The sequence below is a fragment of the Homo sapiens genome, chromosome 17, assembly GCF_000001405.40.
Source record: "Homo sapiens chromosome 17, GRCh38.p14 Primary Assembly".
NCBI classification, from domain to species: Eukaryota; Metazoa; Chordata; class Mammalia; order Primates; family Hominidae; genus Homo; species Homo sapiens.
In genome coordinates, this window is record NC_000017.11 from 50,583,439 (window position 1) to 50,608,113 (window position 24,675).

Genomic DNA, 24,675 nt, shown 5'->3' on the forward strand with positions numbered 1-24,675 from the left:
TCAGGGGGTTGGGGGCTGAGCCAGAAACACCCAAGAAATGTAGGTTCTGGTGGAAAAGTCATTCTGTTTCATGGATGATTATGCCAAATGCCGCAAGAGAGGCTTCAGGGGACAAAGGAGAGCTGCTCATCCCCAGCTCTCCTTCGGAAGGGCTTCACGAAGGTGGTGGCTTTTGAACGGAGCCTCGAAAGATGAATGGAATTGACAGTGGCTTGGGTGGTGGGGGTGGGGGGAGGTGGGAGATGGAGGGGTGGGTAGGAGCAGAGAGATCTAGGTGGAGGGATTAAGGCACATGCACAGGGTGGCACTCGATGCTCTGAAGGACAGTCAGGTTTTCCTCCCTGCCCTGGCCCCGAGGTGTCTGAGCAGTGATTGATGTTAGCCCAGCGAGGAAGCCGGTGCTTCCCATTGGTGCAGGCTGGGTGGAGGAGGGCCTAGAGGCTATTTCTGTTGTTCAGATCAGAGGCAAAGAGGGCCCCAAGTAAGGCCATAGCTATGGGAACGAGGGGTTGTGGGTAGGACGCAATTTCACTGGCAGGTTCTCTGGGCCGGGGCACCTTAGTGTCCAGAGGGAGGAAGGGTGGGCAAGAATCCTAGATAACCCGAAGTTTCTAAGGCAGAATCCCGAGCATGATGGCGCCACCCGGGAAGGAGCAGGTTTGGGAGAGGAGGCGAGAGGGTTTGTTTTGGATGCACTGAGTTTGAGATGGCTGTGGGCCATCCCAGGAGGGAGATCAGGCAGGCTCTGGATCTCTGGATGAGAAGCCAGGGGCTTGGAGAGATTGTTTAGTGTCGTCTACACCCCAGTGACAGCCAGAGAGGTAGGAGTGGGGGTACTGGTGGAGGGAGCGGGCTTAGACTGAACTCTGAGGAATGCTGGCCTGAGGGAAGAGAGGCGGTGAAATGAGCACTGGGAAGGGGAAGAGGTGGTTGCTCAGGGTCGGGGAAGCCAAGGGAGGCTCAGCTGCTGCTGAGGCATCCACTAAGAGGAGGGCTGGGAAGAGGGTCCCTGGACAGAGCTGGAGCTGTGGGGCCCAGAGTTCAGAACTGAATGAGTCTGGAGTCCCACAGAAGCTTTCTGCTTTTAGGCACGGGGGAAGGAGATTGGAGAAGTAATGGATGCAGGCATAACTGATAGGCCAGGGCCCAGGGGAGCCGGGGGCGGGGGTAGGGGGTGACAGGGGGGCGGCGGGGGAGCACATCAAAGAATCAAAGTGCAGGTGGAGGAACGGCTGGCTCCCTTCCAGGAGAGGAAGAGAGACAGTGGGATGCACAACACAGAGCTCTTTGGAGGAGGGACGTGGAGCCCCCCATGTAAGCCTGCAACGAGGGGCCAGGTGGGGAGTAGGGCTGGGGGCTGCAGAGTCCAGAAGGATTGAGGCAGCTCCTGGGGGAGAGAGGAGACCTAAGAAGGGAGGAACCAGGGACTGTGAATAAAGGCATGAAACAGCCATGGGGCCACCACCCACAGGGAATCACTTGTCCAGTCAGCACATGTTCGTGCCTCTCTCTAGCGATACTCAGCACTTCCAGAGCCGCAGAGGAGAGGAGGAGGGCAAGGGCACTTACCTGGGCTGGGGCTGGGCAGGGCAGGAGCTCTTGAAAGTCTTCGTCAGAAGGGCAGCCTTTATGTGGCCTACTGTGGCCCACCATGGGCTAGACGCTGTGCAGGTGGACAAGGCACAGGGGCTGCAGCTCCAGCATTTTATTATTTATTTATTTTAAGAGATGGAATCCTGATCTGCCCCCTGGGCTGGAATACAGTGGCTTGATCATGGCTCACTACAGCCTGGAACTTCTGGGCTCAAGCGATCCTCCCACCCCAGCCTCCCCAGTAGCTGGGACTACGGGCACCTGCCACCATGCCTGGCTATAGCTCCAGAATTTTAAGTAGCAGGGGCCTTGGGTCAGCTGTCTTGAAGCTGAGTGGGCACCGTGAGTGTGCTGTGCCTAGTTAGCTTGTGTGTTTACTTTTGAGGGCTTCGGGGAGCTGGGAAATATCATGTCACCTACACCCCAATGACAGTGGAGAGGTGGGAGTGGGGGTGCTGGTGGGGGGAATAAGCGTAGAATGAACTCTGAGGAATGTTGCCCTGAGGGCAGAGAGGCAGTGACTGTGGCTAAAGCCTCTCCTTGGCACTGCCTCTGATTAGGAGGCCCTGGGGGCACCATGACACCTAGCAGTGTGCCCAGTGGGCAGGAGGGCACAGGAGGGGGGATCCAAACTGGAGAGCTTCCGGGGGCTGGGGAAGACCAGGACCATGATCTACATGATGAGGCCTGTGAGATTTCCAGGAAACCTCCTGCCACCGAGGTGTTCCCTGACTTCCCACACCTCCTTGAAGACTTGCCTCCCACTGACCCAGTGACCCTCACTGCCTCACTGCAGCCTGTCTGTGCCCCTGTCCTGGGTGGGTGGGAGCAGCAGGCAGGCCCATCAGAAGCAGAGGTGAGGTGAGCTGAGGAGTCTGAACAGAAGAGCAGAGATTTCAGGGTCAGTGGAGCAGGTGGAAGCTGGGGCGATGGCAGCTGGCTGGGGTCGGGCTTGGGCAGAGCACGAGTGACTGGTCCAAGCCTCTGCTCAGCTCTGACGAGGCCTGTCCAGCCCCTCATGCCCTCTCTGCAAGAGGCACATCACTGTCTGCCAGAGCTGGCTCTCAGGCCTCCTGCCTGGACTGCTGCAGTATCCTAATTGGTTTCTGTCTCTACCCTCCAAGCCGTCCACACGCTGCCACCACTGCAGCCAGATTAATCTTCTTCATACACTGCTTTGTACATCTCCTTCCTCCCTTCCCACCCGCCCCCAGGGCCTCAGTGGCAGCGTGGTAGGCAGAGACTTGTCCAGAGGGAGCAGAGGAAGGCTGTTCCACCTGGCCCTGCCGACCTTGTAGCCTTCTCTCCCACCAGCCCCTCTCACCCTCTGATCTGGGCAGACAACTTGATTCTTGGTTCTGCACTGTGCCCTGCACACCCCTTCCCTTGCTGTCCCCAGCTGGGGACACCCTCCATGGACATCCTCCCAGGCTGTCCTCCCCACTGGCCCACTGACCTCAGCCGGGATTGAGCTCCCGTGGCTCCTGGGTTTTGCCCCCAGTGTGGTGTTTAGTTGCAGCCTTGCAGATATCGGTCCTGCCTTCTGTGAGCTTGGCCCTGGGGCTGGGGTTTCTCACAGCCTTTCACTCCTTTGTTCTGTAGAGCAGCCTCCCAGGAGGTAGTGTTACCCTGTTTAACAGAAGAGGCCACTGGGGATCTGAGAGGCAAAGGGAATTGCCCAAGGTCACATAGGAAGAAAGTCTCAGAGTTGGTGGCACCTTTCTAACACCAGTGTTTGGCACACAGAAGGCACTTTTAGGGCTAGTTGATGGAGCAGCTATGAGGCTTGGGGAGCCCCGGTGCTGGGAAGTACTGAGCAGCTTAACGCTGCTGCAAGGTGACAGCCGGAGGGGAGGGGAGTGGAGGTGTTAGGAAATGGGAGATGGAGATTTACAGTCAACATCAGCACAGACAAGAGACCTGGGACCTCTGGGTGGGATAAGCTCAGGCTGCCTGGCCTCATTTCACCGAAACCTCCACTGGGCCTTGACATCTGTGAACAGCAGGAAGGATGCAGGCTAGACCTGGGAAGGGACTTCCACAGCTGGGGGTGGCCAGTGAGGGGTGGCTGGCTCCAGCCTGATGAGTTTGTGTGCTCTCTGTGTGAGCTCTGTCTGGGTATATGGTGGGGGCGATGTTGTGGAAAAGGTCTTGAGGGCAGAGATGTAGAGGGAGGCACAACGGACCTGGCTCTGCACCTCTCCAGGAGGGTGATGTGACCTCCATCAAGGCACCACACCCCTCGGAGCCTCAGTTTCCCAGACTATCTAGGAGGCTCACAGCCCTCCCTCGTTTGTTGTGAGCAGGGAGGAAATGAAATCCCACGAGGAGGTCTTCAGCCTAGTTGGCCTGTGGTGGGCACTGCCAGATGTTGGCTCCACCCCTGCCCCTTTTCAGCCGTAATTACAGCTCTGGTCCCTGGGGCAACTTTGTTGCTAAGATTGTGTCTCTATGTCCTCGTCCTGCATTCGCAGATCGTTCCCAGCCTCCAATTTAGTAACTTGGACAGACCTGGCTATCTGGGGGAGGAGGGCTCTTTTTCCATGGCTCACTGGAGGGAATACCGGGGCCCTGGAGAAGAAGTGGCATTTACCCTAAGTGTTGCAGGGAGACTAGAGAGAGCAAGGCAGGGCCGAGGGAGTGCGCCAGGCCCCTTTCCACCTGCATCAGGCTGCCCTGCTTTTCCAGGCCTGGAGTCACTTGGCTGGGCAAAACAGGGGTTCCAGCCTTTGCTGGCACAGCCCTTGACAAAGTTCAATGAGGCAAGCCTTATGGGACGGCAGGCTTCTCAGGAGCCTGGCATCATCCTTCTCCATAAGCCTCTCGGTGGTGTGCAGGAGAGTGAGGTGTGCACGTGTCCACAAGCCATCAGTACAGACTCCTGAGAGCCCCGTGGATAACATCGGGGAGTGAAGAGAACAGTCTCCTTCTCCACGCACAGTAGTAGTCGGACTTTTAGAATTCACTGATTGAGTAAATACATGACATCAAAAGCTACTGTGTTTTCAGCAACTTTTAAAAGAACGTTTCATTAATTTTTATTTTTAGCAGCTTTTTGGGGGTATAGTTTATATGCCATGAAATTTGCCCATTATAAGCGTACCTCAGCTGTGTCTTCACATCGAGTTGGTCTTTATTCCTAGAACTCTGTTGATTTGAATATAATTTTAGAAGACACGTTGTGTATCCAGTCCACCGTGTATCTGGATTCACAAGCCCCTCACCATCACCGTGGCTTGGTTCTGAATCCTGACTGTCTAATATTCTTGGAGTCAGAGGGATGTGGGATTGGGCCCCACCCCAGCTCTTCCTGCCCTGTGACTTTGAACATCATACCTGTGCGGTCCATGTTCATTTTAATCTAATCCAAGGCCCGAAAACACGGCGAGTGGCAGAGTGACAGGGAGGAGGGTTTGCCGACTCCCGCTCCCTGGCAGACCGGACTTGGAAGTACAGAGTGGGGGGATCCACTTAGCCAGGTGGGGTCTGAGCCCAGGGCTTTATATGCATTGATCCTGGCCCCGCCCCACCTCCTGTACTGTGCTCACGCCGGAGACACTAATGGCCCTGTGTGACCGGGCTAACCAGGTCAGGTGGCAGTGCCCCCACTCACAATCCACGGAGCTACGACTTACTTGAGATCTGCTGGAGCAACGGGCTCCATGCCATACTGGCCCCCACGACAGCCACTCCCCCTCTGCATAGCTGGCTGTCTGCCTGCCTGCTGGCCCTGACTCTGCCCCCAGGCCTGCCTTTGAACAGTCTGAAAGTTTATCTCTCTCTGAGTAACTGTTGTCCCCGAGGCTCCCAAATGCCGCTCACCTGCTAGTCAGAAGCCCCTTGTTCCGAGTCTTTTCACCTCCCATCCAAGCTGGCTGCACAAACTAGGGCCATTAGGATACATTTGGGTGTCCTCAGGCCTGGCTGCAGGCTTGGTTGGGCAGCTGGCCAGCGAGACAGTGAGAAGCAAGGAGAGGTGTCTGATGGAATGAGTGCCTCATTTGAATGTTTCATTAACCCATACTTTTTGAGCAGCTACTATGGACTTGGCCTCTGCCCTCCAGGCCAGACACCTAGTTTGTCCAGACATCCATCAGGTGGACAGTGGGGTCCATTGAGCCAACCATATCTCTTCTTGCTTCCCCAGCCCTCTGCCTGGCCACACCCCTCCCTTCTTCAACCAGAACCAGGCTGAGGTTGCTCATGATCCCCCCACCCCGTGCCACACCACCTAGACCCTTGGCTGGGGAGACTCCACAAACCCTTAGGCATTCAAGTGCTGCCTCTCTCCCAACTAAGCCTTTCTCTGTGTGTTCACCCCTCACCTTTTCTCCCCTGAACTCCCGGACTTGCTGCCTGGATAATTTATTTTGGCACTGAAGCATTTAAGGCCTCTTGTGGTTATTCAGCCGTTTTGTGTGTGTACAACGTGTTTCTAGCAGACACTGAGCTCCTGGGAGGCGGGGCGTGTGGCTGGCATGTTTTTGCAGCTCCTTTAATGCCTGGTGCATTGCTAGGCACTTCATATTGAAAGCGAGGTCACTAGTGAGCTGGAATGGCAGATGAGACAGGGTTCGTCATTCGTCCTTCTGAGGACTCTAGGGTGCATCCTCAGTCCCAGTCCCAGACTCGGGTAGGGAGCATGAAAGGAATTACCTCTGGTGTTTCACATTTGGCCAGAGAGGTTGAGAATCTTGCTGAAGGTCACAGAGTGAGTGACAGGATAGGCTGAGGATTAACCCGGGTGTCCCGGGCTCAGGCTGAGGCTCCAGGTGTCTCCTCAACTGTGACAACCCTTCCTGGGTGTCTGCGTGTCTTCCTTCTGCCTATCACCATGTGTGTGACTGGGAATGCGTGCATTTTTCTCTCTCTCTCTCTCTCTGTGTGTGTGTGTGTGTGTGTGTGTGTGTGTGTGTGTCTGGAAGGAAGCAAGAGTAGCCAACTGTTGTCCAAGAGAAAGCTGCCAAGTCCACAGAGTAATTGTGGAATACATGTGACGTTGTGTGGGGCTTGACGACCGGGTGTGCCTGTGAGGCCTTGGCGATCGCCCTCTGACATCCGCCAGCATTGTCATGCTGCTGGCCTGGGCCCGCTAGGCTTGCATTGTAGCCTAGGTCAAGATGGGCCATGCAGCTCCCAGCAGGAGATAGGGCGGAACCCACACCACAGGCCTCCCATTGAGTTTGTGGCCCCTGAATCTGAGACCCAGAGCTGGGGCTATGGGTTTCACGTGGCCCTTTCCTGGGGCCCCTGCCCCTGGGTGCATTTCCTCCTGGAGCCTTTGGGGCAGGGTCCTCCCCATGGGCCTGAGCATCCAGCAACCCCTCCGCACAAGCTTGCTATTCCTGCTCCTCCTCTCCCTGGTGTCCCATGTTTGGAGGACTGGATCGAGGGGCTCAGTGATAAGCCAGCTGCCTCACATCCCACCCTGCCCTGCAGCCCGAGGAGCTTACCAACGCCCTAGAAATCAGCAACATCGTCTTCACCAGCCTCTTTGCCCTGGAGATGCTGCTGAAGCTGCTTGTGTATGGTCCCTTTGGCTACATCAAGAATCCCTACAACATCTTCGATGGTGTCATTGTGGTCATCAGGTATGACTACCCCCCGGCACTGACTCTCAGTTGAGGAATGGTAGCAGGGGTGGCTTGGGGCCAGGGGCCATGCCACCTATTCCCCTGGGGTGGAGGGGTCTGGAGTCAGGCCCCACTGACCCCACAGGACCTGCCACTCCTCCTAGGTGGGGGGCTCTCTGTGTCCCCATGCCCCCTCCATCTCTCTCTTGGCCCCACCTTGCTCCTGTTGACCTTGGGCTCACCTCTTCATTGCCCAGGCCCCTCTTTAGTCTCCTCTCTCCACTTCTACCTCTTGTCCTTGACCCCACCCAGGCCTGGGATGGGCGAGGGTGAGATTGGCTTTAGAGGAGTTGGAAGAGGTATGAGGCCCAGCCAGCTGCCCGGCTCGAAAAGTGCTTGGAAATCATCTCAGACACCAGCAACTTGCTTTAGGGTTTCCAAGACCTTGGGAAAGTGCTCCGTCCCCGCAAGGCCTGGGGCCAGGAGAACCACTTTATTGCTTTTGGAATTGGCTTTAGATTTCATTAGAAGAGAACAAAGCAAATATTCCATAACTTGATGCAGTTGCATTGGCCAGATTTAGGGAGGGAGTTGTCTACTGCCAGGATGTGATCTCTGGCAGGGAGGAGAGGGCGGAGGGGGCCGGGGCTGTCACCCAAATCCTCACTATCTTGGAGGCTCCTGCTTAGAGGTCTGGGGGCCCACCTGTGCCCCATTTTCTCTCGACGTGCCCACCCAGCCAGGCCCTTGGGTGCTACTGAGTCCTCTCCGAGGGAGTAGGGGGAGAGGGTGAAGGTGCAGGGGGCTCAGGCTGCCTGCCCCCTTTGCAGCGTGTGGGAGATCGTGGGCCAGCAGGGGGGCGGCCTGTCGGTGCTGCGGACCTTCCGCCTGATGCGTGTGCTGAAGCTGGTGCGCTTCCTGCCGGCGCTGCAGCGGCAGCTGGTGGTGCTCATGAAGACCATGGACAACGTGGCCACCTTCTGCATGCTGCTTATGCTCTTCATCTTCATCTTCAGGTGAGGGCGGCATGGCACCTTGCCGGCTGAGAGACCGGCCAGGCTGGGGGCAGGAGGGCCTGAGGGGTGAGGAGCACTGGGCTCTGATCCCTAGCTTGTGGCCCCCTTGTGCCCACAGCATCCTGGGCATGCATCTCTTCGGCTGCAAGTTTGCCTCTGAGCGGGATGGGGACACCCTGCCAGACCGGAAGAATTTTGACTCCTTGCTCTGGGCCATCGTCACTGTCTTTCAGGTGCGAGGGTAACAGGGCAGGGCGTGGACAGGGGCCGTCAGGTGCCCCTAGTATAGGCCCTGATTCCTGTCTTCTGCCCGCAGATCCTGACCCAGGAGGACTGGAACAAAGTCCTCTACAATGGTATGGCCTCCACGTCGTCCTGGGCGGCCCTTTATTTCATTGCCCTCATGACCTTCGGCAACTACGTGCTCTTCAATTTGCTGGTCGCCATTCTGGTGGAGGGCTTCCAGGCGGAGGTAACCCACTGCTCTGCCCACCTCACCCTGCCCACAGCAGTCCCACTTCCAATTGGCTGCCTGTCTTGAGCCTCCTCCCTCTGTTGCCAACTTTGGGGGCCTGGGAAGTCCCACAGGAAGAGCCTCTTAGACTAAGCCGGGGTGGACCAGGGCGGGAGGCTCCAGATCTCGTGCAGCCCCTCATCACATGGGACACAGGGTGGTTGTTTGGGGTCCCTCCACCAAAGCTTAGCTACCGAGTAGACATCCCCTTCAGAGTTGGCTAGACCCCTTCCCCAGAGAGGCAGACCAGATAAGTGTCTGCCTGTGGTGCAGCTGGACTCCTGAGCACAGTGCTCTATGGAACACCCGGAGAGGACCCCTCTGAGCCGAGGGGTGCAGGAGGCTTGTGTGCAAGTTATCTGAGCTCTGACTGAGCAGATGAAGATGCCACTAAGACCAGAGCAGGGCTGAGCTGCCCAGGGTGAGAAATGAGCCCAATTAGCTACGGGCATGGCAGAGATGAGCGTCCTATTTCCAGCCCAGGCTCCATCACCTTCGTCACAGGCAGCGTCATCAATTAATATTGATTTACATTGATCCTGCCCTTGCCATGTCAGCGAGCAGCCTCTGCCCAGAGGGCTGCACCCCCTCCTCTCCCTCAGCTCTGCCTCTCTTCCCACCCGAGCCCCCAGACCCACCCCAGCTTGCTGGGGCTTCAAACAGGGCAGTTTGACCCAACCTAGAAACGCTCCAGGTTGGGTCTGGAGAAGCTCTTGGTCCAGTTCTCTCTGGGTGACCCGGATGGAAACTCCCGCTGCGGCCTGGTCTATAAATACCTGGCACACGGTGGAAAAACAAAAATCTATTTTCCGACTCTTTCCCAGTCTTTCAAGGGAGGGCTTTTCCCTGTGGGCCGGCTGGGTTGGTGGGGTGCAGCGTATCTGTCCCACACTGGTCTTTCTCCCCGCTACCCTTTTCAGTCTGTAGTTATCCGTTATCGCATTTCCTCCCTCCTGTGGGGCAGCCAGGGCAGCTGGTGGGGGAGGCTTTGGTGATGGCTGTGCCTCTTGCAGGGAAGGAGGGAGGGACGCCGGTATGCTCCCTGGAATGGGACACTAATTTGGGGGTTCCCTGAGGCCTGAAGAATTAAGGGGCACCACAGTACTCCCACAAGAGCCAGTAGACTCACTCTGCTGCTGCTCAGGGTCTATAAGAGGAGGAGCTGAGTGAGGACCGGGCCCCCTGGCCCCTTCTGAAGGCAGCTCCTGCCAGCCACGGTTCCCTCAGAAAAATTCCCGTGCAACTCTGTGGAGGGAAATGGAAAACACCGCGGGCCTATTCCCCTCCCCTCCTCTGCCACTCAGCCGCCAAGGCAGTCTGGAGGTGCCCAGCACAGATGGCCCCCTCCCCAGCACTCAGCCCTTTCAGCAAACACCTTGTTAACTTGAGTGCAGCTGAGCGGCCTGGTTGCTAGGCAACAGCAAAGCCAGAGTGTGGGAATGAGCGCAGCCTGGCCCTGGGGCGGCCTGGTCACTCTGGCCCTGCTGGGGGCCTGGGACTGCCCCAGTGTGAGGGCTCAACAAGGCCCACGCAGCCACACCCTCCCCAACCTTCGCAGTATCAGGACCTTTGCAGGGAGGGTCTCACTCAGGATGCGGTGTCTTGGGCTGGGATGCTTCAGGCCTGGGGTGGGATGGAGAAAGGACTTTAAGAACATCCCCTCTCCATGGGAGTGGGCAGTGACTGTGGCCCCGGAGTGCCCATGGGAGGGGCTGGGCCAGTTGCTCCCCTGTCCTGCATGTGGTGGGCAGGGCTGGGGAGTGTCCTTCGATGCCCATGGCCTGGACAACTCCAAGGCACCTGCCCTCTCCTGGGTAAGGTTTCAGGGGGCCCCACGGTCTGGCAGGGGAGTCTGGTTTTGCTGTTGTGGTGGCCTGGGATTTTTGTTTTTATTTTGACAAATAAGACAACCCACCTTGGCAGAGGAAGTGGCTGCCCCCATTTTGGTGGGCTTCCCCAGCAGGAGGCTTCAAGGGTAGCCCCCCTGCTGGCCTTGCTACCTTGCCAAGAGCTAGGAGGGGGTGGTCCAGGGACACAGCCTGCTTGGCTGGTGATTTCCTGACTTGCAGGGGGCAGCGCCCTGAATCCCTGTGTATTTATCATTCACACACTTAATTAAATGAACAGGCAGCAGGCCCTGTGTGAGGCCATTAATTGATACTAAATAACATCAGAGCCATCATCTCAGCATTACTTGTCACATCCCATCTCAAACGGAGCAGCTGGATCTGTTCTGATCTGAAGGGACTTAAGCTGAGAGCATGAGACGTTATGAGGCCTGACTTGGCTCCGTGTTGACTCTGACTTTCGTCCATTCCTTTCCTTGCTTCCTACCCATTCCCCAAGCCCACTGCCTCCGAACCGGTGAGAGGAGAGTGGTGTTCTGAGCCACAGACTCGGGTTCCAGGCCCAGATCCACCTCTTACTCTGTATGATTTGGGGCAGTTTCCGCAACTTCTCCAAATCTCGGGTTTCTCTTGTGTAAGATGGCGATCCTGGAACCCACTTCCTACCTTGCAAGGAAGCCAGCTGGTGTTAAGGAGGCAGTTTCCCATGCCAGGCACACCCTTAATGAATGGTGGCTGTTATTATTAGGATTATGGGGGGACCTGCCCTTGTCCCCATCTTTTTGGCCTCTGCACTCACCCTTCAGATTCATTCTGGCCTGAGGGCCTGTAGTTGAATTCTGGAAGGCTGTTCTGTCCCCTCTCTGCCCCCCCATTCCCCGTGTCTCTCAGTTCCCCTGCTGTGGGGTTTGCGCCCCTCCTTTTCTTCATCCTCTCTCGACACTGCCGATATCTGAAGGCCCCGAGCGCCTGTGACCAGCAGCCCTCCCCTGCCTCCCCCTTTCCCTGTAGGAAATCAGCAAACGGGAAGATGCGAGTGGACAGTTAAGCTGTATTCAGCTGCCTGTCGACTCCCAGGGGGTAGGTACGCGATCATGAGCCGGCATGCCTCCCGTGCCCCATGCCCGTGCCCCTCCACTCCGCCTCCGTGTCTCTGTGCTCGTGTTCACGCTCCGCTGCTGTGCAACCTGTCATAGCCGTGATGGTCATTGGTGTTGTGAGGTTTGCTTCGATTTTAAGTCCCTTCCCCCTTGAGGACACGGAAGGGAGGCACCTCCTTGCCTCTGCCCCCATCAACCCACCAAGGGCACCATCTCCATCCCTGCCAGACTGGTGGATGGGCCGGAGAAGGAAGGGACTTAGAATCCTCTGTGTGCACGTGTGTGGGGCACCCCGTGTGTGCGTGCCTGTGCTGAGGTCCCGGAGGAGTCCCAGACGTCCGGCTTCAGTGGAGTCAAGATCTGGCCGTAGACCATACTCCCCCATCTCCCACCCCTTCACCCCTTGCCCCAGGCCCCTGTTGGAGACCCCGCAAGCTGTCTCAGCTCAGGACAAGTCCTTGGAGGATGTGGGGATGGGATGTGGCTCTTGCCAAAATGTACCAATATTTTAAATCACCTCTGAGCCTTTGGCCCCTTCATCACCCACTTGGGTCCGGCTGGCGCTGTCAGGGCTGGCTCCCGGTCTGGCCCCACGATGAGCCTGTGCTCTGCTGTTCCCTGCCCCAGCACCAGAATTCGGGGCGAAGCCAGCATTCCTGTGGGACCCCATGGTGCTGCATATCCCGAGCAGCCCCCTGGAGATCCCACTTGATAATTAAAGGCCTCGTTAGGGCTGTAAACTGAGTTAATGAAAATGATCCCCTGAGATGCCAATTACCCAATATTTATGTCCTTATCAAAAGTAGCAATCAAGTATTTTTTAATAACTTCTTAAGGAGAAGTATGTAATTACTGGGGAACCTACTGACCTGCTAAGAAGAAAGAAAAAACTGTCCCAGAGACAGGGAGAGAGGTAAAAATGGGGCCAGGGAGGGGGCCGGGACTTGGGGAAGATGAAGGGAAGACACCGAGGGACTGAAGTGGCGTCCTCGGGCTGAGCTGTTCTGTCTGGGGTCTTTCAATTTCCTTCCAGGGTCCTCGAGTCTGAGGCTCAGGGGAGGGGAGCCGTGGAGAGAAAGCAAAGGGCCTCCAGTGAACTTTTGCAAGAGAGGCTCTAGTGACCACTTCACTCAGGTCCCCAGGTCCCCAGCCCCCTCTGGCCTGTGCCACCTGCCACCTAGCTACCCCTTCTCTCCCCAGCCAGCCTTGGTGACCGTTCAGCCAGGCTGGTTGTGCTGTGGGCTCACATAAGCTGTGGCCTTTTCTGAGGTGTGGCTGGAGAGGCAGAGGTGGTGGGGCCCTGGGAAGCCTCGGGCCCCAAGCCTGGGGGGTCTGGCCTGCGCCGTGCATGTCTCGTGCCGTGGTTGCTGGTTCCTGTGGCCTATATGTGGTGTGCGTGTGTGAAGAGAGGGAGGCCCGGTCCATCCCAACCACCCAAGCCTGGCCGGATCCCTAATGGTCCGCTGCTCCCCTGCCCTAGGGAGATGCCAACAAGTCCGAATCAGAGCCCGATTTCTTCTCACCCAGCCTGGATGGTGATGGGGACAGGAAGAAGTGCTTGGCCTGTGAGTACCTATCCTGGGGTGCGACTTTTGGCCCTGGGCCAGCCCTGTGTGGACTCGGGATCTCTCCCTCTCTCCCCGTGCAGTGGTGTCCCTGGGAGAGCACCCGGAGCTGCGGAAGAGCCTGCTGCCGCCTCTCATCATCCACACGGCCGCCACACCCATGTCGCTGCCCAAGAGCACCAGCACGGGCCTGGGCGAGGCGCTGGGCCCTGCGTCGCGCCGCACCAGCAGCAGCGGGTCGGCAGAGCCTGGGGCGGCCCACGAGATGAAGTCACCGGTAGGGGGTGCATGTGGGTACCCTGATGGTGGGAGATATTCCAAGGAGGACAGGAGGAAGAGAGGATGGAGGCAGGCGGGTCCAAGGGCACAGCCCCTGCCCCATGGGCTGGATGGGGCCTGGGTGTGCCTGGACAAGCCCCTGGGGAATCTGCGCCGGTGATGCAAACCAGGGTAGGAGCCCTAGCCTGGGGGCTGAAAACAGGGCCTAAGCTGACCTCTTCTGTACCCTAGCTGAGTGACCTCGGGCAAGACGCCACCGCTCTGATCTGCTTCTGTAAAATGGAGGTGGGGTGTCCATACCTCCTCAAGACTGAATAATAATAATAGCAGACCCTCATCTAGGTACTGACTCTGTGCCAGACACTGTTCTAAACACTACTCCGAAGCATTCTAAATGCATTTAATCCTCACACCAACCCTGGGAGGTAGGTACCACAATGATCCCCATTTTACAGAGGGGGCCTGAGCCTCAGATTGCAGAAGGGAATGGCAGAGCCAGCATTTTAATCCAGGAGGCTAGTGTTGGTGCCCATGCTCTCATGATTTTATTTATTTTTAATTTTTTTAAATTTCGCTTTTAATTGACAAATACTAATTGTGTATATTTATGGGGCACAATGTGATGTTTTGATATATGCATACATTATGGGATGATTACATCAAGCTAATTAGCATATGCATCACTTCACATACTTATTTTTTTTGTGGCATGAACATTTAAAAATCTACTCTTAGCAATTTTGAAATAAATATGCATTACGTTATTATTGACTATAGCCATCATGCTGTGCAATAAATCTCGAAAATTGATTCCTCCTGTCCAACTGAAACTTCGTATCCTTTGGCTAAGCCTTCCCCATTGGTCCCATCCTTACCTCTCCCAACCCCAGCCTCTGCTAATCACCATTCCACTCTCTACTTCTATGAGTTCAATTTTTTTGGATTTCACATATAAGTGAGATCATATGGTATTTATTTGTCTTTCTGTGCCTTGTGTATTTCACTTAGTATAATATCCTCCAGTTCATCCATGTTATCACAAATGACAGTCTTCTTTTTTAAGGCTGAATATTATTCCACAGTGCATGTATGCCATATTTTCTTTCTTTCTTTCTTTCTTTTCCTTTCCGCTCTGTCGCCCAGGCTGGAGTGCAGTGGCACGATCTCAACTCACTGCATGCAACCTCTGCCTCCCAGGTTCGAGTGATTCTCCTGCCTCAGCCACCTGATTAGCTGAGATTATAGGCATGTGCCACCATGTCCGGCTAATTTTTTGTATTTTTAGTAGAGATGAGGTTTCACCATGTTGGCCAGGCTGGTCTCAAATACCTGGCCTCAAGTGATCCACCTGCCTTGGCCTCCCAAAGTGCTGGGATTACAGGCATGAGCCACTGCACCTGGCCCATATTTTCTTTATCCAGTCATCCATTGATGGATACTAGGTTGATTCCATATATTGGCTATTGTGAATAATGCTGAAATGAAGATGGGAATGCCCGTATCTCGTCCACATACTGATTTCAAATCCTTTGGATAAATACCCAGTGCTGGAATTGCTGGGTCATATGGCAACTCTATTTTTAGGTTTTTGAGGAACCTGCATACCGTTTTCCATAATGGCTGTATTAATTTACATTTCCACCAACAGGACACAAGGGTTCCCTTTTCTTCAGATCCTCACCAGCGCTTGTTATCTTTCATCACTTTCATAATAGCCAATCCAACAGGTGTGAGATAACTCATTGTGGTTTTAATTTGCATTTCCCTGGTGATTAGTGACGTTGAGCATTTCTTCATGTACCTGTTGGCCATCTGTGTCTCCTTTTTTTTGAGATGGAGTTTCACTCTGTCACCCAGGCTGGAGCGCAACAGTTCACTGCAACTTCCACCTTCCAGGTTCAAGTGATTGTCCTGCCTCAGCCTCCTGAGTAGCTGGGATTACAGGCGTGAGCCACCATGCCCAACTAATTTTTTTTATTTTTAGTAGAGATGGGGTTTCACCACATTGGCCAGGCTGGTTTCGAGCTCCTGGCCTCAGGTGATCTGCCCGCCTCGGCCTCCCAATGTGCTGGGATTACAGGTGTGAGCCACCGTGCCCAGCCCTGTGTCTCCTTTTGAGGAATGTCTATTCAGGCCCTTTGCCCATTTTTTAGATTGGGTTGATTTTTTGCTGTTGAGTTGTGTTTCTTCACCCCATTATATATACTGCCACTCAGCTGATGATAACACTTCTCTCACCAAATAAATGAGGAATGAGCTCTATTGCCATATCTAGTTTACAGATGAGGAAACAGATGCACAGAGAGGCTTAATAACTTGCCCCAGGTCACACAGCTGGTTGGGGTGAGCCAGGATCTGAACCCAGGCATCAGAGTCCAGAGCTCCTGCTCACATCCCTACACTTGATGTGATGCCAGTGAGGCTCCCAGGAGACCGGGTGCACATGAGAGGACAGGGCTGCTGGGCCCTGCCTGAGACCACTCCTCCCCTGCTCACCCACAGCCCAGCGCCCGCAGCTCTCCGCACAGCCCCTGGAGCGCTGCAAGCAGCTGGACCAGCAGGCGCTCCAGCCGGAACAGCCTCGGCCGTGCACCCAGCCTGAAGCGGAGAAGCCCAAGTGGAGAGCGGCGGTCCCTGTTGTCGGGAGAAGGCCAGGAGAGCCAGGATGAAGAGGAGAGCTCAGAAGAGGAGCGGGCCAGCCCTGCGGGCAGTGACCATCGCCACAGGGGGTCCCTGGAGCGGGAGGCCAAGAGTTCCTTTGACCTGCCAGACACACTGCAGGTGCCAGGGCTGCATCGCACTGCCAGTGGCCGAGGGTCTGCTTCTGAGCACCAGGACTGCAATGGCAAGTCGGCTTCAGGGCGCCTGGCCCGGGCCCTGCGGCCTGATGACCCCCCACTGGATGGGGATGACGCCGATGACGAGGGCAACCTGGTGAGGCCCCTGTGGGCACAGTGACCCCTCACCCCTGACCTTGAAAGAGGGGAGGTGTGCCTGGCCTGGCAGGGTATAAGGGAGTTACCATTCCAAGCCCACGGAATATCAAGGGGCACCTAGAAACCGAGCTCCAAACAATCCCTTTTCTCCCTCTGCCCGCCTTGCCAAGCCCCAGATCCTTGTCATGCCTATGCCTGGGGCTGCGGCTCTGCCACCCTTGGTGGATATGAATGATTTTGGACAGATGTGTATGAATCTTTCATGGCCCTCCCCCTGTGACTCAGAAAGACCCATCACTCATCTCTCCAAACTGATGCCCCGCATCCCCCTTTCTCGTCTCAACCTCATCACAAGCCATGACTTCCCACTCTATCCATACCCATGTGCCCCTGCCCCAGCCCCTCATCACCACCATTCCCCCTGGGGATGGGGTGCAGTGACCTCAGGGTTAGCATGTGAAGAGCAGGGCCAGTGTCTCCTCAGCTGAGGTGTGTCTCTGAACAGACAGCTGTGTGGGGCCAGTGTTTGATAACTGATGCTGCTTCCCAGCTCAGCAGGGAGGACAGGCAGGGGGCTGGGCTGGAGGCAGGGGTGGGGAGAGGGGAGAGCGGGGTTGGGGATGCAGGGGAGGAGAGGGAGGAGGTGGAGAGGCAAGGGGTCCTCAGGGATGGGGAGGGGGCCTGGCAAGGTTGACAGGGAGATGAGGAGGTGGCTTTAGGAATAAAGGAAGAGAGGCAGGGCAGAGCTTGGGCCCCAGGTGGGAGAGGGTAGACAAGGAGTGAGGCTCGTGACTCTGCTGAGGAGCCAGGAGCCGGGGAACCTGGAGGCCTGGTCCTGCTCATACTCCAGTGTTTGTTCTGCAGAGCAAAGGGGAACGGGTCCGCGCGTGGATCCGAGCCCGACTCCCTGCCTGCTGCCTCGAGCGAGACTCCTGGTCAGCCTACATCTTCCCTCCTCAGTCCAGGTAAGTGACAGGGCAGGGGTCTGACCTGTGTCCCGACCTCTTCTTCTCACGGGAAATTACCGCTGGTGATGCTGTCAGGGATTTGAGAAGTGGCACCCTGCCTGGGGTGTGAGCAGGGTGGCCTCAGCTGGGAGGGCACTGGAGGGGCAGGGGCTGCGGGCGGTGCCTCTCGTTGCCACCTGCCCTGCCTCCCCCTCTCAGCCGTTGCCTCCATGCCTGGGCAGGTTCCGCCTCCTGTGTCACCGGATCATCACCCACAAGATGTTCGACCACGTGGTCCTTGTCATCATCTTCCTTAACTGCATCACCATCGCCATGGAGCGCCCCAAAATTGACCCCCACAGCGCTGTGAGTCACCAGCCCCGCTCAGGGCAAGGCCTCTCCTGGGGTTTGCACTCAGGACCAGTGAGGGAGGCAAGGAGGCCACAGTTGCTGACCTGCAAGTCACACAGCAGGGAACGAGGGGGCCAGGACTCTCCTTTAGGTCTCTCACCAGATCCTGGTCCCCGGGATGCCCCCTGTGTCCTCTCCTGCCTCAGTTTCCCTTCTATGATACATCAGCCCAGCTGGGTGCTTTGTCTCATTCCAGGCTATTTCTCATGAGCCAGAGCCTTGTGGGGCACACGCGTGAGTCGGGGAGTGCTGGGGCGGTGCAGGGGCTGTGTGCAGATGGGGAGGCATCTTGCCCAGTCTGCCTCAGGGCCTCGGGGGCATGCAGAGTGGCCATGGAAGCCGTTCTTTGCTCCTGGTCATCCTTCCAGGTCAAAACCAAGTAGATTTTCAGGGGCCATAGTGGGGACATGGGTCACTTCTGCTTGGCTGCGAACCTGTCAGTCCTTCTCAGAAGGAGAGCCAGAGGCCCTGGACATACCGCCCCAGGGTCGAACCCCTTCAGGGTGGGCCCAGCTCACCCTGGGAGCTGTCTCTTCCTAGCCTGGCATTATAGCCCTTCGCTGTCGGCAGCAATTCTGGTTCCAGAAGGATGGGTGGGGGGTGGTTGTGTTTCCGCTCACGGCATCCTGCACCACTTGCTTAGAGGTGGCCAGGGTTTGCCTCTCATCCCTCTTTGCCATCTCCCACACCATTGTTTAGATTTCAGCGCTGCTGGGGCTTCTGTTTTCTATTAGGGTCGGGGTGGAGGGAGCCTGAGGAATGGCGGGAGCAGCCCAAGACTAGGCGGGTGAGAGAGCACCCGCACTGGGGACCTCACACCCGGAGTCACAGGGTAAGGCAGGGGCGCTGGCTGCACTCCAGCCTTGGCTGCCTCCCGCCTGAGGCCCTGCTGTAGAGCTCTCTGTCACCATGTCACTGTCTCCACGTCTCTCTCACCATCTTCCCACTCAGCTTCTCCATCTCCAGCTCTGTCACTGTACCTGCTCCTCTCCTTCCCTCCTCTCTGTGCTCACACCCTGCCCGCCACCTCTCTAGAGATCTGCGCCTGCCTCCTGGCCACCCAGGGAGGGACTCAGTCCACAGATGCCAGGGAACTAGATGGCCTTCCTCCCTGCCCTGCCCCAGCCTGTGCCTGGGGGTGCAGAGTCTGTGTCAGGACCCCAGCTTCCACTGCTGCTCCATTTCTGGGGTGCACAGCAGGAAAGCAAGTGAAGAGGGTGGGATGGCAGGCAAGGGTCAGAGATCAAGTGAGATCCTGCCCCAGTTTTTAAAAGGAACCAGGGAATAGGGCTTAGGACGTGGGACGCAGATCACAGCACTGCAGTGCAGATCCTCTCCCCCTTGGGCTAAGTGGCTGTGGGGGCGGGGAGCTCTGGTCACAGACAGGGGTGTGACTGTCCACAGAGCTGCAGGGGAGTCAGGGGGCCTGGCACTGGCTCTGTGCGTGTATGAGAGGGGCGTGATCTACATTGTTGTGGAGGGTGGGGGTCGTTTTCTGAGTCAAATGTTAGAAGCAGGTTTTGACTTGTGTATGCAGAGCAGACCTGGCCCAAGGGTGGGGGCTTCCTGGCGGGCAACCCCTGCCTCCCCTCTCTTGCAGGAACGCATCTTCCTGACCCTCTCCAATTACATCTTCACCGCAGTCTTTCTGGCTGAAATGACAGTGAAGGTGATGGGGGCTGGTGTTGGCTTGGGACCTCTGGTTCCTGGTGGGGGTGGAGACAGCTTGGGCTGAGGGTGGGAGGGTTGGCTGCAGCGCAGGGAGGGCGGCCGATGACGTGGCGGTGGTCCCCAGGTGGTGGCACTGGGCTGGTGCTTCGGGGAGCAGGCGTACCTGCGGAGCAGTTGGAACGTGCTGGACGGGCTGTTGGTGCTCATCTCCGTCATCGACATTCTGGTGTCCATGGTCTCTGACAGCGGCACCAAGATCCTGGGCATGCTGAGGGTGCTGCGGCTGCTGCGGACCCTGCGCCCGCTCAGGTGACTCCCTCCCCAGCACTGGAACACCTCCAAGAGGTGGCCCCCTCCGCAGGGACATCTCCCACCGCCAGCACTCCCTGCCACGAAACAAAAGCCTGCACAGGCCAGCATCCTGTCTGTGACCCCCACAGGCGATCCTGTCCCCGCCCCAGACAACACTCAGATTACGGCCGCAGTAATTTCCCTCCAGGTGCACACCTGCTTTCCTCCTCTTCAACATGACATATTCCTCAGGGCCGCTGCACCATGTGATGTAAGGTGACTGCAGCCCTGTGCAGCACACAGCACAAGGGGCCACGAGCAGGACTCTCACAGTCTTCAGCTGCGGCTCTCCCTTGTGTGGCCTCTAGGGGTGACACTCAGCCCCTCCCCGTGAGGTGACAGGCTCCTCTTGCTGGCTTTCCCCATCTTCAGGCGCCTGCCAGTGACCACCCCCCGGTGACATTTCTCCTGACCAGGGATCCACCCTCTCAGGAATCCCTTTCCAATCAGCCAGTCACCACCCCCAACTCAGATTTTTTTTTTTTAATAGGGATGATGTGGACTAATGGCGATGCTTCCCTGACTGTGATAGTCCATCTCCCTCTGCCCCTTCCCCTCTCTGCCTGCTCCCCTACAAGTTTATCTCCTGGTGCCCCCAACCCACAATACACTGCATCTCTAGGGAACGCCTCACTTGAGTTGAATCCTCCCCACTCCCAACCCAAACAGGTCGTACATTTGACATCCTGGGATGGAGGTGGAGATGTGGGGCATGGGGATCTCTGCCACTTGTTTTGAGAGATTACAATAGGGGTCCTGATGGCAGGGGTCCCATGAAAAGAGGACTTGTGTTCTGCCACCAGAGGCCAGGAAGGGACCAGTGGTCAAGGTTGGGGGTGGGGAGCAGGGTCAAGGGACAAGGGAGGGTCTGGGCTGGGGGAAGCCTTATCACCTCCCTCCCTCCCCTCCCCAGGGTGATCAGCCGGGCGCAGGGGCTGAAGCTGGTGGTGGAGACGCTGATGTCCTCACTGAAACCCATCGGCAACATTGTAGTCATCTGCTGTGCCTTCTTCATCATTTTCGGCATCTTGGGGGTGCAGGTGTGTGGGGTTCTGGGGGCCAGCTGTGGGTGAAAGCCTGAAGAGGGCCCTTCCCCTTGGCCCCTGGGTCCTATGGCTCAAGCTGCTGTTGCTGCCTTCATTCCAGAAAGGAATAAGCAGGGACGCTTCCCTCCAGGCTCTAGGCCCTTTTACCTCCTGGGCATTTCAAAGAAAAGTGGGAGCCTAGAGGAAGGCCCCAAGGAGGACCGGGGCTGCCGAGAGGCTTCAGGCCATGGGAGCCGCAGGCTGCTGTTCCTGCCCTCTGCACGCACTCCCTGAGCACAGACGCTGGCCCGCGGTCTACTCCGGGATCCCCTCCCTTCCTTCCCGGCTCGAGCACAGTGGGCTGCAGGCCAGGTCTGGGGATCCAGGGCCCAGACAGCTGGGCCAGGTTAGCAGCGTGCTGGCAGGCAGGCGGGTGCAGACCCCAGACGAGGCAGGAAGTGGGGGCTGCTGGGGAAACTTGGCCTTGGGCCCAGGGAGGAGACTTGGCTTTGGAAGAGAAAGAGCCAGAGCTGCCTGCAGGATTCAGCAGACGCCTCAGGGGGCCGGGGAGCCCCTCCATCATAGTCTTCCAGGGCCCTTGGCTCCAGCTGTTTCAGCTGCAGGGTAGACAGCTGGCTGTTCAGGCAGCGTGGGAGCCCCTGGGTGGCTACACCCTCCCCTCCCCGCCCCTCGTTCCCTTGGCTTCCTGGGATGTCCACTCTGCCCTGGGTTGGGGGCTGTTCCCTGACTTCCTAGAAATTCTCTAGCCCTAGGGAACAGGCTGGGGTGCATTTACCAAAGCTGTGTGGTGCCTCTCTGTACACCCTCCCCACTCCCACCCAGTGCCCTTCCCCTTCCTCACTTCCCAGCCTCCTTGGGTCAGTAGAGTGAAGCATTGTTGAGCCCAGTCCTTCCGGTGGATTTAGGTCTGTTTTGAGCAGTTTGCTCAGGCCCCCTGGTCCTGCCTTCCGTTTTTCACTAGTGGTCATAGCCTGGTTTATAATGGAATGAGGGTGAGCTTTCCAATCAGACAGACCTGGGTTCGAGCTCCCTTTCTGCTACCTGCTGGCTATGGGACCTTAGTGAGTGGATTAACTTCTCTGAGCCTCCGTTGTTCTTATCTGTAAAGTGGGGTTGATGATACCCACTCCCCCACCCAGAGCTGCTGTGAGAATTAAATGCCCAGCTCAGTGGTTCTCAAACTTGAGTTTGCGTCAGAATCACCAGAACGGCTTGTTAAAAGATCGCTGCTCCCCCACCTCAGAGTGTATGATTCAGCAGATCTGGGCTGGACCTGAGAAGATGTGTTTCTAGCATGTTCCCAGATGATGCTGGGGACTCCCACTTGGCACACGCCTGGCCTAACCGTTGGTGGAAGATGAATGACTGTTACCCGCCTCCACCCTTTCCCACTGCCCGCCCCGATTACCTTTCCTCCCCACTCTTGGAAAGGAAGGGGGTGTCGGCAGGGGAGACTCTTGTCAGTGTTTCCCTGACTTGACTGGCCCCAGAGCAGAGCACCCCACACTCACTCAAAATGTGCCCAGGCTGGCGTGGGGGTGGGGCTCAGGAGTCCTGGGCTTCCTGTGGTCACAGCTCACTTTTCTCTGTCTCTGGGAATGTGTGTCCAGCTCTTCAAAGGGAAGTTTTTCGTGTGCCAGGGCGAGGATACCAGGAACATCACCAATAAATCGGACTGTGCCGAGGCCAGTTACCGGTGGGTCCGGCACAAGTACAACTTTGACAACCTTGGCCAGGTGAGCCCCAGGCTCAGAGGTGGGGCTGTGGTGAAGGAGGCTGGAGGGGGCACAGGGCCATGCTTAGTGATACCTGCTGACTCCGGTGGAGGTGGGCTCCACGAAGAGATCAGCCCTTCACACCCTCTGCTGTCTAACCACCAGCATGTCGCAAAGCCCAGTCCATCCCACAGTGCCCCAAAAAGTGGGCCCATGGGGTCTCTAGCCGTCCTTAAAGATGAAGAAACAGAGGCTCAGAGAGGGTAAGGGGCTTGCCCAGGGCCACAGAGCTACATGGTGGAGCAGGAAGCACACGTGGCAGTGGGGGCAGGCAGCCCTGGATGTGAATCCTGTGCAAATCCTGACCCCACCATTGTCAGCTCAATGACCTGGAGCAGCTGACTTACCAGGGCCTCAGTTTCATTAACTGGTGAATGGAGTCATAATAGAATCTCCTCGGAGGTCACAATAAGGATGCAATGAGATGATGTGTATATTTCTTTAACATGGTGGAAGGGACGGATATATTGTCAAGATAATTCCTTTCCTCACTCCATATTTGCAGAAACAGAAATGCAGAAAATGAAATTGCTCGCTCAGTTTTGATTCCCAGACCCACTCTGGTTTTGGTTTCTGGATTTCCAGGGTTTTTGTGTCCCTTCTCCTACCTGGCGGAGGGCAGAGGGTGTGACCATCTCTCAGGGCCCCTCCAGCTGCAGCTCAGTTATGGAACCCTGAGAGGGAGGGCTCTCCTGGAGCCTGGAGTGTGACTCCAGCTTGACCCCTCAAGGGCTGGGGTACTTGGAGCTGATGCAGGAGGCACTTTGGGGGCAGGTGATAGGTGATTCAGCCACACATCCTAGACTTCAAATGTCTCCTTCTCCTCCTCCCCATCAGGCCCTGATGTCCCTGTTCGTTTTGGCCTCCAAGGATGGTTGGGTGGACATCATGTACGATGGGCTGGATGCTGTGGGCGTGGACCAGCAGGTAGGGCTGAGGTGGGCAGGATCCATCTGTGGGCTCAGGTCACTCAGCATGGGCTGATTCCAGGACAGAAAGAGCAAGGCAGGGTGGCAAAATGCCATGAAAGAAGCATCATATTTTACAGCAGAGGCTGTTGCTGGTAGCCTGTGGGCCAAATCTGGGCATGTTTTATTGGTCTACAACATGTTTAACATGTTTTGAATTAGTGATGAATATTTTTAAACTGGTGAATTTGGGCTGTGTGCAGTGGCTCACACCTGTAATGCCAGTGCATTGGGAGGCCTAGGCAAGAGGATCACTTGAGGCCAGGAGTTGGAGACCAGCCTGGGCATCATAGCAAGACCCCCAGCTCTACAAAAAATAAAAACAATTAGCCGGGTGTGGTGGTATCATCTGGAGTCCCAGCTGAGGTGGGAGGATCTCTTGAGCCCAGGAGTTTGAGGCTGCAATAAGCTGTGATCGCACCACTGCACTCCAGCCTAAGCAATAGAACAAGACCCTGTCTCTAAAAAAAGAAAAAATAATGGTGAGTTTTACACAGAAATTCAGATTTGTGTCTACTCAGGAAAAGTCTGAAGATCTGGGAAGACTGGGCTTGCATTCCCTCAAGGCAGGAGTCAGCCAGAACAAAGAGGCAGTTTTGGATGGAGAATCTACTCTCCCCTTTACCACAGTCCCCGCCCCTCCCTACTGCTTCACATCAAACCCACACCATTCATTTCCATCGCCTGTCAGGCGGCTGTAGCTATTTGGGTTCGCAGGAACCCAGGCTGTGGGCAGCTCCTAAGACAGCTTGCCCTCGGGCTGATGCCTCCGCCTGTCCTTCCTGCTCCCCGCCAGCCCATCATGAACCACAACCCCTGGATGCTGCTGTACTTCATCTCGTTCCTGCTCATTGTGGCCTTCTTTGTCCTGAACATGTTTGTGGGTGTGGTGGTGGAGAACTTCCACAAGTGTCGGCAGCACCAGGAGGAAGAGGAGGCCCGGCGGCGGGAGGAGAAGCGCCTACGAAGACTGGAGAAAAAGAGAAGGAGTAAGGAGAAGCAGATGGCTGGTCGGTAGTCTTTCCACCTCTCTCTGGGTCGTGCTTGACCTTGGCCTTGCGACTGCAGGGGGCTGGGCGCTGG

The 24,675-nt window shown here is 56.6% G+C and overlaps 1 protein-coding gene across 35 annotated transcripts in view, besides 2 other annotated features; it reads left to right on the forward strand.

Annotated features, from left to right (window-relative positions):
* The window catches only part of CACNA1G (calcium voltage-gated channel subunit alpha1 G), a 66,760-nt gene that overhangs the window by 22,724 nt on the left and 19,361 nt on the right, over window positions 1-24,675 (forward strand). For 10 of the 35 annotated variants that reach the window (NR_046054.2, NR_046056.2, NM_018896.5 and 7 more), the window contains exons 10-25: window positions 7,033-7,184; window positions 7,997-8,182; window positions 8,301-8,415; window positions 8,499-8,654; window positions 11,555-11,623; window positions 13,124-13,208; window positions 13,292-13,485; window positions 15,990-16,421; window positions 17,288-17,388; window positions 17,613-17,736; window positions 19,382-19,450; window positions 19,577-19,761; window positions 20,717-20,843; window positions 22,460-22,585; window positions 23,462-23,551; window positions 24,389-24,581. Coding sequence is in view for 30 of the 35 variants with exons in the window: in NM_018896.5 (NP_061496.2) it covers window positions 7,033-7,184; window positions 7,997-8,182; window positions 8,301-8,415; window positions 8,499-8,654; window positions 11,555-11,623; window positions 13,124-13,208; window positions 13,292-13,485; window positions 15,990-16,421; window positions 17,288-17,388; window positions 17,613-17,736; window positions 19,382-19,450; window positions 19,577-19,761; window positions 20,717-20,843; window positions 22,460-22,585; window positions 23,462-23,551; window positions 24,389-24,581 (2,404 nt within the window). In the remaining 5 variants the exon portion in view is untranslated. Of the gene's footprint in view, window positions 1-7,032; window positions 7,185-7,996; window positions 8,183-8,300; window positions 8,416-8,498; window positions 8,655-11,554; window positions 11,624-13,123; window positions 13,209-13,291; window positions 13,486-15,989; window positions 16,422-17,287; window positions 17,389-17,612; window positions 17,737-19,381; window positions 19,451-19,576; window positions 19,762-20,716; window positions 20,844-22,459; window positions 22,586-23,461; window positions 23,552-24,388; window positions 24,603-24,675 lie in introns of all 35 variants that reach the window. The other 25 variants (NR_046055.2, NM_001256325.2, NM_198377.3 and 22 more) reach the window with 9 other exon arrangements.
* Window positions 9,456-10,264: an enhancer, noted in NCBI's record as "H3K4me1 hESC enhancer chr17:48670255-48671063 (GRCh37/hg19 assembly coordinates)". NCBI's record gives its function as "activates a minimal SCP1, AML or CMV promoter by ChIP-STARR-seq in primed H9 embryonic stem cells {active_cell/tissue: H9 hESC(primed)}" and the evidence as "EXISTENCE:reporter gene assay evidence [ECO:0000049][PMID:30033119]".
* Window positions 12,875-13,375: an enhancer, noted in NCBI's record as "H3K4me1 hESC enhancer chr17:48673674-48674174 (GRCh37/hg19 assembly coordinates)". NCBI's record gives its function as "activates a minimal SCP1, AML or CMV promoter by ChIP-STARR-seq in primed H9 embryonic stem cells {active_cell/tissue: H9 hESC(primed)}" and the evidence as "EXISTENCE:reporter gene assay evidence [ECO:0000049][PMID:30033119]".